Genomic DNA, 10,543 nt, shown 5'->3' on the forward strand with positions numbered 1-10,543 from the left:
CTCTCATAAGCTCCATAACTTCTTGCTCTATATTCAGCAGAGACCCCTGGCCTGCTTCTCTCACACCTATCAAATGCCCCCCACCTGCAGACTTAAACCCCTTCCCTCCAGGTTTATTCCAGGATCAGCATTGAAATGGTGCTACCCCAGGGTGCCCTACAATGGACAATGTGTGTATAATTGTTGGATGCCCCTTCAATCTGTACAACTGCCCTGTAGGCAACCTTCAGCCTCTGTACACTGTACTTCTCCCCCAATAATTTGAGTAACTTAGAAGTAGAGACCTGAGAAACTAGTCGATGACCCAGATCTGTATAAACAGATCCTTCACACCCGCAAGCATACACCTTCACCAAAATTATCTAGTTATACAGGATTCTAGAGACCTCTCCCCAGGGAAAAAAGACCATTGCTCAGAATGAATGACAAAAGCATTTTATTGAAGATTCACCTGCAGATGGATAAGAGGGAATGAGAGGAGTAGAATGGGACACTAAGTGGTTCTCATCCTAAGCTTGCAGGGCCAAGTGCTGCCGGGTGTTGGAGAAGTAGTTTGGTTCTGATGTAGATGGATAATACAGGATCTAGTGGGAGATGGCATTGGACTGGGAAGGGACATATGTGACCCCAATAATTCTGGAGATGACACTCCTGGTCATTTTCTTCTCTGTCCATGGGAGGTGAGAGGTCAGCTGACATCCTTCCCATTCCAGGTGGGTCACCAGGCCCAAATCAAGAAGTAGCTACCAAACTCCAAGAGGCAGAGTCCCTGTCCCAGCACAGAAGATCATCCTGGGGCAGAGAGAGCCCATGGGATAGTGGAGGGGATACTAGTAAGATGAGCCCCAGAGACAGAGGATGGAGGTGAAGTGAAGGAAGCACAGAGACACCAGTGCTGGGCCCAGCTGGACACAGTGAGCTGCAGGGACCTCGTCTCCTCTATCGTCTCTTGTTCAGGGTGGTGGTAGAGATGATCTTGCTGCTGGAACTGCCAGAGACACTGCCACCAAACCCAAAGCCACTTCCAGAGCCGGAGCCAAAGCCACTACTCAGGCCAAACCCGGAGCCACTTCCTAATCCTCCGCTGATGCCTCCAGTGCTGGTGCTACCGCTGACCACAGCTGCAGAAAAGACACAAAAGACACAGTTATTCCAATGCTGCCAGCACCCCAGGGGTCTGGCAAGACCCGGGTGAATGAACAACTACAGCAGGCGTGGAAGGTACTTACAGATGCTCACGGCACTCTGGCATTCTCCAGACATTCTGTAGGGGAAAGAAAAGGCGGTGAGCCTCAGGGAGCACAGAATTTTGTTCAATAAGCATGCCTCACTCACCTCTCTTATCCTTGAGCAGCCTCTGAGTTTGAGGGCCCAGTGTGAACCTATTAGCTGAGCTGTCCTGGTTCGTAATGCACCGGCACAACACTGATGCTTGCAGCCCGGCAGAGGCATAAATAAGCTCATGGCCCTGGACCTCTCTGGCCCTCATGTTCACACCCTGCCTAACCCCTCACCTGTACTCCTCGCCCTCCAGCAGTTTGCGGTAGGTGGCGATCTCGATGTCCAAGGCCAGCTTCACACTCATGAGCTCCTGGTACTCACGCAGCATTCGTGCCAGCTCCTCCTTGGCCTGCTGCAGGGCAGCCTCCAGCTCTACGCGCTTGCTGTGGGCATCTTTAAGGGCATTCTCACCTCGCTGCTCTGCATCAGCCACGGATACCTGAAGAGTCTGGCACTATTGACAAAGGCATTAGATAGGTGGTCAGCAGTGCCCTGCCTTCAAGGCCTCTACACCTGTCCCCTCCCCTGGTCCAGCTTTCCTTGGGTTAGGATGTCAAGATTCTATCTGTTCTGCCCACTTTCCCTGAGACTTATGCATCTCATTCACTCCAGCCATAGCCCACCAATGCCTCCACCAGACTGATTAAATAAAAATGAGCAAAAACCCATGAAGAAGAGCCAAGAAACCTATGCACAGGAGCGTCATGGTGTGCCAACTAGGATATTGCTGAAAAAATCTGGGTATGCCTTGCACAAAGAGCTATGAATTCCCAGCAACAAGCTCAGGGTCTTCTGGCCTGATGCTTTATCTGCTTGTCCACTCTGGAGATGTCTGCCTGAGGCCCCTGGCCTTGTGCTCCATCTGGAAGGGAGTGACACCCACCTGCTTCTTGATGTTCTCGATCTCTGCCCGCAGCCTCTGGATCATCCTGTTGAGCTCTGCAATTTCACTCTTGGTGTTCTTCAGGTTGTCACCATGTTGGTCAACCGAGATCTGGAGCTGCTGGACCTAAGACTCAAGAAGACACAGAGAACCAGGTGTTAGGGGCATTTGGGTAGGGTCCATTCTCAAGTGAACTCAGTGAGAATTGCCACAGGTGGCAAGAATAGCACCAAATGTCAAGTAGTTTCAAATCAGACCAGGACCAACGATGCCTGGGAGAGTCTGTTCATATCTGACTTCTATTGGGCTTGAGCTAATGATCACCTGTTCACAGACATCAAAAGCAGAGCCCCAGAGCCAGCCCCATCTCCTGAGAGATCCATACCACCCACCTTGGTCTGGTACAGGGCTTCAGCCTCAGCCTTGCTCCTCTGGGCAATCTCCTCGTACTGGGCACGGACCTCGGCAATAATGCTGTCCAGGTCCAGGTTGCGGTTGTTGTCCATGGAAAGGACCACGGACGTGTCGCTGACATGGGTCTGCATCTGGGACAGCTCCTGCAGGGCAAATGTCTCACATCAGCCCCCCCAGGAAAGCCTTCACTGACCTGATACAGGCTCAAGTAGGAGCAGAGCTGGCATTCACAATGTGTAGGAAGGGGAGAGACAGGTAAAGTTCTAAGGAGAAATCAAGTGGTTGTGACAGTTCAGGATGGAAGAGCAATGCTTCTAGTCTTTACTGGTCCCCAGGAACCATAAGCCACTCTAATGCAGTGAGTGCCGGTGTGTTGGAATGGAAGGGAAGGGAATGGATCCATTTCACCAGAAAAAAAATGCTAGACAGCAATGAATTCTATTCCAAGCACTCTTTAGATCTAATCACCCCGTCTAAGACCAAGACCACATCTGGTTCTAAGAATCTCCCAGTTGAATTTCCCACTTCAAACCTTTCTATGCATGACCTTGATGAGAACCCACTGCCCTAAAATAAGGGAGCTGGAGTCCTTTCAAAAAACTGTGAATCCCAACCAGCAGCGTCACAGATGGGGGATTCCCTTTCCCTGGATGGAGGGGAGGATGGAGCCCTCACCGCATCATAGAGGACCTTCAGGAAGTTGATCTCGTCATTAAGACTGTCCACCTTGGCCTCCAACTCCACCTTGTTCAGGTAGGCAGCATCCACGTCCTGCAGAGGAGTAAGGAGGATAAGAGATGAGGAGCAGGAATGCCAGTAGGAGGACGGGTTACTAAGTGACACCGACAGGTGTTCTCAGCAGCATTTAGGAAAGACTACTCAGCAGCAGGGGAGCTGGTGGGAGACCAATTATTTTATATATTCTTCCCTAGAGCCACCTGAAGACATGGAAGTTGATTATCCAAATAGGCTATTCTAACAGTATGGAGATCTCTCAAAGAACTAAAAATAGAACTACCATTGGATCCAGCAATCCCAGTGCTGGAATTCCACTCAAAGGAAAAGAAATCATTGTAACAAAAGGATACCTGCACTCATGTTTATCGCAGCACAATTCACAATAGCAAAGATACCAAATCAACCTAAGTGTCCATCAACAGATGATTGGATAAAGAAAATATGATACATATACACAATAGAATACTACTCAGCCATAAAAAGAGAATGAAATTATGTCTTTTTGCAGCAATGTGGATGGAACTGGAGGCCATTATCTTAAGTGAAACAACTCAGGCACAGAAAGACAAATAACACATGTCCTCACTTATAAGTGGGAGCTAAATCATGTGTACATGTGGACATAGAGCATGGAATGATAGACAATGGAGACTTGAAAAAGGGAGGGCTGGGAGGGGCTGGATAATGAGAAATTACTTATTGGATATAATGTATGTTATCCCAGCAATGGATACTCTAAAAGCCCTGACTTCACCACAACACAAACTATCCACGTAACAAAATTACACTTGTACCCCATGAATTTATAAAAATAAAAATCAGCTGGGTGCGGTGGCTCACAACTGTAACCCCAGCACTTTGGGAGGCTGAGGCAGGCGGATGACCTGAGGTCAGGAGTTTGAGACCAGCCTGACCAACATGGAAAAACCCTGTCTCTACTAAAAATACAAAATTAGCCAGGCGTGGTGGTGCATGCCTGTAATCCCAGCTACTCGGGAGGCTGAGGCAGGAGAATCGCTTGAACCCAGTAGGTGGAGCTTGCAGTGACCCAAGATCGCGCCATTGCACTGCAGCCTGGGCAAAAAGAGTGAAGCTCCATCTCAAAAAAAAAAGCAAATAGGCTTTCCTCCCAACCTTAATTTCTTAGAACCTGGTTTGGTTACCCACTTTCCTTGACTATATAGATCTAGATAGTTCCAAGTGAAGCAGGGATGAGGCAGAGATGGACCAAACCCATGACTTCAGCCAAAGACCACTCCCCAAGGGAAGGGGCACCCTGAAGGCACTCCCTACCATCCTTCGTCTCTTACCTTCTTTAGGACCACAAAGTCATTCTCGGCTGCTGTGCGTTTGTTGATCTCCTCTTCATACCTGGGGGTGGGCACGGGGAGAAAAAGACAAAAACCCACAGTGAGCTGGTGTTTCTCAGATCTCTGCTGCTTGTTTTCAAGCATTTCCAAACAAATTTGGAAATATCCACGTAATTAGTTGCATTTCCCATATTCATACAGATATTCATTTAACCTATATTCATTGAATATAGGAAGTACCCGTTTAGGCCAGGGTTTATTCAGATACATGAAAACCAAACTTTAAAGAGACTGTTTTCGATAGAAAACCCAGCAATGATGTAGTTGATTTAATGTCCCTGAAAGGGCTGTCCTTTTGGCCATTTTGGCAGATTAAATTCTCAGCAATGTCATCAGCACACTCCATTTCCCTTTGTTTGGTGGGTGAGTGAATTGAGAGACAGGGTTGGTATTTATTTTGTCAGTCCTATCCCATAGTGAGTTTAATGAGAGGTGCTGTGTATTCAGTGTTCACTCTGTGTCCTGAAATATGCCACATGCTTTCTCTATTTCATTTAATTCCATTTAATTCTCACAACCCATAAAGTAGGAATATTATCCCCATTTCAAAGATGAATAAAACTGAAGCTCAGAGAGGTTCAGCTATTTACCCAAGGTCACACAGCTAGTAAGTGAGGACTCAGTATGCAAACCACCTCCATCTGTCTCTACAGTCTGTATTCTTCTAATCATACTATACTGCTTTTCATCTATTTGGGTTCTGATCTTGTTCGTATATGGCAGACCCAAATCCCTGAATCTATCATTAAATTTCCTTTCGGAAAAATCTGTGGTTACCAGACCTCACCCTGAGAAAACGTGACTATGTGGATGTAGCAAAACAGACTAGAGGGCCTTCCTAGACGCCTTCAGAGCCTGAGATTCTAAGCCACTGGAGAGAGCCCCGGGAGCCTGGGTGTGGCTGGGCACATGTGTCAGATGGCGTCCCCTCCTTCCTCCCCATGTACTTAGTCTTGAAGTCCTCCACGCTGTCCTGCATGGTCTTCAGCTCAGACTGCAGGCGCCCTTTGTCATTGCCCAAGGTATCTAGCTGCTTCCTCAGGACACTGAGGTAGGTCTCAAAGAGGGGCTCAAGGTTTTTGCTGGAGGTGGTGGTCGTCTGCTGCTGGAGCAGGTTCCATTTGGTCTCCAGGACCTTATTCTGTTGCTCTAAGAACTGCACCTGTGTTGATAAAGGCACCAGCCAAGTGATGAGGGCCTGAAGTGTGGCAGGAGGGCCAGCCAAGGCAACACCAACCCAGTCAATCCCAGGGAACTACACGGCCCAAGAACCACCCAAGTAGGGCCACTATGTTGCATCTCCAGGGCACCATTCACTCGGGTTGACATGATGGCCCCATTCTCGAGCCCATAGCACCAAGGGGTCACATAGGTTGTGGAGAATAGAGCACAGCCAGAGAAGCAGGGCCTAACAGTGCAACAAGAACAACTTCCTAGCCGCAGGCACCCAAAGCCCCAAAGAACATTAAACTTCTATGAAATAACAAAATAAAATTAAGAGACATCACAATCTGGAGGCTCTTGCATTCAAAGTGATCCTGACCCAAGGCAAATGAAAGACAAAGTCACTACAGACTTTTTAAATAAGCTTACTTATCAATGGATCTGGCGTGTCCCTGTGAACCTGTGAACAACTGAGTATAGATATTTAAAACAAGGGCCCTGTACGCATTGTCTCACCTAAACTCCATTCTGCAAAGGACTTTCCTGAACTTTCCCTCTCTCTATGAAAAAATCTAGCCAGACAAACCAGGACAGCAGCTTAGCATGACATTTCCATGTTATGAGCCTCAGAATTGAAAGGAAAGCAGGTAAGGCAGACCGATCACATTTTGAACCCAAAAGGTAAAATGAGATGAGATGAGACAAGGATGCATCAAAGAGCCCTGAGTTTTTGCTATCACATCTGCATGTCCTATAGTCACAGTAAAACCTCTTTAAGTTACTATGGGTTTATTCAAACTAGCAAGAAGAACAAATATGCACCTTATTCTATTCCAAAAGTGTTCATTCTTGCCCCATATGTCGAAGCTGCCCAAGACTTTGATGCCTGGTGAACCAGGGCAACCTGGACCAAAGGGAGGCACTCATCCACCCAGTCATCAATCTTTGGATGACTCGGCTCTCTGGGGCTGCACTGCTCACTATCATCCATCATGCATGACCATAACTGAGCTTAAAGAACTTGAACTTCTAGACGTTGCATGAAAAAGGAAGTTGGGCTACAAAAAGAAAAGAGACCTGTCTCCTTTCTTCAAACAGACCCAGACATGAGCAGTGTTGTCCAGTCAAAGGAATGAAAAAAGTAAATTTCCAAGGCCTTGGTGAGACCTAGAATCTGCCACTGGAGCCAGTCCCTTTTTCATTTGCAAAATCAGCTTAGTTGTCTTCTGTTCTAAGAACAGAAGTGGCCACTGTTAAGTGATTAATGGGGTTAACTGCATTATATTCAAAACCAAAATCTGAGAAAAAGCAGAGAAATAATGAACCCCCTTTATAGCTGGGATGACTAGAGCCAGAAAAGCCAAATGATTTGTCCAGTATCCCACAGCCTGTCTAGGGAATTCCAAACACTTAACTGCCTTGAGCATCCCACCTTCCCACCAGCCACGGGACAAAAAGGAAGGCTCAAAGTCATGATGCCCCTTCAACAGCTGGAGAATTGGGGCCCAGGGAAGTTCAGTGGTCTCCCCAGCACCTGTGGCAGGCTCAGGTCTGAGACCCCAGGACTCAGGACCCCTCTCTTCTAACTGCCCCTCTCCAGCCGAGGACACAGCTCACCTTGTCGATGAAGGAGGCAAACTTGTTGTTGAGGAGCTTGATCTGTTCGCGCTCTTCCGTCCGGACTTTCTGGATCTCAGGGTCAATCTCCACGTGGAGGGGGGTGAGCAAGCTCTGGTTGATGGTGACCTCCTGAATTCCCCCAGCGGGGCAGACGGGGAAGCCAGGGCCACCCTTACCACTGAAGGAGCCCCCAAATCCACCACCAAAGCCACCAGTGCCAAAGCCTCCAGCACCCCCAAAGCAGGCACCTTGTCGTGACCCAGCCACACTCATGGAGATGCTTTTGTTCCCCCTGAGGTTGTAGAGGCTTCTGCTGCCAAATCCCCCAGAAGAGCATCGGCCAGCACCTCCAGACATGGAGACTGAGCTGAAGGCACCTCTCTTGCCACCGCCTACAATGGCCGAGCCACAGCTGAAGCCCCGGGGCCCGCCTCGGACACACTGCTGTCTGGCAATCATGGCTGCAGAGAGCGAGCTGGGAGCTATCAGAGAAGTGACAGGGCCCAGGCCGGTGAGTGCTGGAGCCCTCAGCCTTCGTCTCTTATATGTCCTGGAGCAGCAGGGCTTGGTTGCAGGGGCATAAAGGGAAAAATCTGAAACATCTCTGGGCTTGGCCCTTGGCACAAGCCCATCCTTCCCGCACCCGTTGAGCATGTCACTAAACACACCTACAGAAGTCATCTGGAGGGCACAGGTTACTGGATCCCATCACACTACTCTCTGGGAGAACCTGAACTGGTGCCCCAGGGCTTCCTAATCAGAAGCCCCTGCCTGGGCCCAGCGCTCCAGGCCCACACCCACTGTACCTCCATCTCGCTAGGCTCACAGCACCTCCCTCCTCCAGAAAAGACACCCCATCACCCATCCTCTCACCCCACAGAATGTGGAGTTAGACAGCCTGAGTTTGAGCGCACAGCCTGCCACCTCCTAGCTCTGCAAACCGGAGCAAGTCACCCTCTGAGGCCCAGTTGCTTTCCCTGTAAATTGGAAGTAATACAAATATTTGCCTTGCCACTTCTCAGGATAGAGTGAGCTAGTGATTAATGGAGTGCTCTGTAAACTGTCAAAAGCCACATGTATATTTGTCATTCTTAGCATTCTTATTCCTCCACATGTTCTTGGCTCCATGTACCTATAAAAAGGGGAAATATTCTGTATTCCAGCCTTAGCCTTCCAACCTAGATCCAGATTCACTTCAACTTGGCCAACAGCTACTGAGAAACTGCCAGGCATGGAGCTAGGTACTAAGGAGATGGGGGAAGACAAAACACCTCCCCAAAGAAAACCGTGACTGTCTTTCTCAGCCCTGGGTACCCATGCTGCCCCGCAGGCCTCCCTTCAATCTGTGCTTGCACAATTCTAGATGGGCGTTCTCCAGCGGGGTCTGGTGGTGTGCACTCTGCTGCTCCATTTGCTGTCCAGTTGTTTGCTAGGTGTGTTCTGGTTTTCTGTAATGGTGCAGAATTCAGGGCAGGAGTTCATAACTTTTTTGCTGCTGGGGATCCCTTTGGCAGAATGATGAAACCTATGGATCCCTTCTCAGAGCAATGTTTTTAAATGCAAAATCCTAGTTTTAAGCCATAACTTAAATTCTTCCCAACTGAACAGTAACAGATCTGTGTTCAAATCCCTCCTGTTGCCACTAACTAGCTGTATAACCTTGGGTGGGCCAACTAAGCACTCTAAACCCATCCAATATGGTTTGGCTCTGTGTCCCCACCCAAATCTCATCTTGAATTGTACTCCCATATTTCCCACACATTGTGGGAGGGCCCCGGTGGGAGATGATTGAATTATGGGGGCGGTTTCCCCCATACTGTTCTTGTGGTAGTGAATAAGTCTCACGAGATCTGATGTTTAATAAGGAAAAACCCATTTTGCTTGGCTTTCATTCTCTCTCTTGCCACCACCATGTAACAAGTGCCTTTTGCTTTCTGCCATGATTGCGAGGCCTCCCCAGCCACATGGAACTGTTAAGTCCAATAAATCTCTTTCTTTTGTAAATTGCTCAGACTCAGGTATGTCTTTATCAGCAGCGTAATAATGGCCTAATACACCATCCAATCCATCTTCTCATCTACCAAATGGGACACCTGCCTCACAAGGAATTAGACAATGTCCCCATGGTGCCTGGCATATAGGAGGTCAGCAGGCATTCATTCTCTTCTTTCCCAGGCTTTGCCATTGCCATTTACAGGGAGAAATCTGGTGTGTTTGTTCTCCCTCCTTTCCTCAATTCCTCATAGATGAAATGACCCCAGGTCTGAGGAAGAGCAGTCACCAGCACCTGGATAATCCCACAGACCCAAGCTGCCCCTAGCTGAATGAAAGCTGGCCAGGGAGAGAGTGAACGGCTGCCTCCATGCACAGAGAGAGGGCAGGGGCCAGTGCTGAGGACAGAGTGGTCAGGAGATCCCACCCCAGACGCAGGGCTGCAGGGAAGGCCAGGCTGGCTGGGAGTTCAGCCAGCTCCTTCTCCAGCCACTTCCTCCCTTGTCCCCATTCCCCCAACCCCTCCCTCCCCTACCTCGGGTCTGTCTCTGCCAAGATGGCCTCTAAGTAAGTGGAGAGGGGGTGGAGGGGCTGTGGCCATGAGGACTGGAGGCCCCAGGCCCCATCACAGGAGAATGCCCGCGTCATGGGTCAGTCCACCTGCAGTAGGTGAGCATTCTAGAGCCAGAACCATCTCCTAGAAGGAAGGGGTTGGACTTTCACTGATCCTTTCTGCCCAGATTCACCAAGCGCCGACTTCGTGCCAAGCTCTGTGCTGGATGCTTTACCTACATTTGATCAACTAGTCTACTTAGAGGCTCTATGGAGTCAGCACCATTAGCCTTCCTTACAGAAACTCAGAGAAGTAAAGTAGCTCCCAGGGTCACACAGCAGCACGTGGTGGAGCCAGGATTTAAACTTACATCAGTCTGGTCCCAAAAGTTCCATATTCTTTTTTTTTTTTTTTGGTTTTTGTTTTGGGTTTTGTTTTTGTTTTTTTGAGACGGAGTCTCACTCTGTCGCCCAGGCTGGAGAGCAGTGGCGCCATCTCGGCTCACTGCAAGCTCCGCCTCCTGGGTTC

At 48.9% G+C, this 10,543-nt stretch overlaps 1 protein-coding gene across 1 annotated transcript, besides 2 other annotated features; it reads right to left on the reverse strand.

Moving 5' to 3' along the window:
• Positions 420-7,987, reverse strand: KRT4 (keratin 4). Its single transcript, NM_002272.4, has 9 exons — positions 7,468-7,987; positions 5,634-5,848; positions 4,627-4,687; positions 3,254-3,349; positions 2,557-2,721; positions 2,165-2,290; positions 1,515-1,735; positions 1,230-1,264; positions 420-1,121 (listed from the first exon to the last, which is right to left on the reverse strand). Exons 1-9 carry the CDS (start codon positions 7,927-7,929, stop codon positions 940-942), a joined length of 1,563 nt encoding a protein of 520 aa, NP_002263.3. The 5' UTR covers positions 7,930-7,987; the 3' UTR covers positions 420-939.
• Positions 6,692-6,892: a silencer, noted in NCBI's record as "peak1735 fragment used in MPRA reporter construct". NCBI's record gives its function as "represses an SCP1 promoter by STARR-seq MPRAs in K562 erythroleukemia cells {active_cell/tissue: K562}" and the evidence as "EXISTENCE:reporter gene assay evidence [ECO:0000049][PMID:32103011]".
• Positions 7,058-7,559: an enhancer, noted in NCBI's record as "H3K4me1 hESC enhancer chr12:53206971-53207472 (GRCh37/hg19 assembly coordinates)". NCBI's record gives its function as "activates a minimal SCP1, AML or CMV promoter by ChIP-STARR-seq in primed H9 embryonic stem cells {active_cell/tissue: H9 hESC(primed)}" and the evidence as "EXISTENCE:reporter gene assay evidence [ECO:0000049][PMID:30033119]".

The sequence above is a fragment of the Homo sapiens genome, chromosome 12, assembly GCF_000001405.40.
Source record: "Homo sapiens chromosome 12, GRCh38.p14 Primary Assembly".
Lineage (NCBI taxonomy): Eukaryota > Metazoa > Chordata > Mammalia > Primates > Hominidae > Homo > Homo sapiens.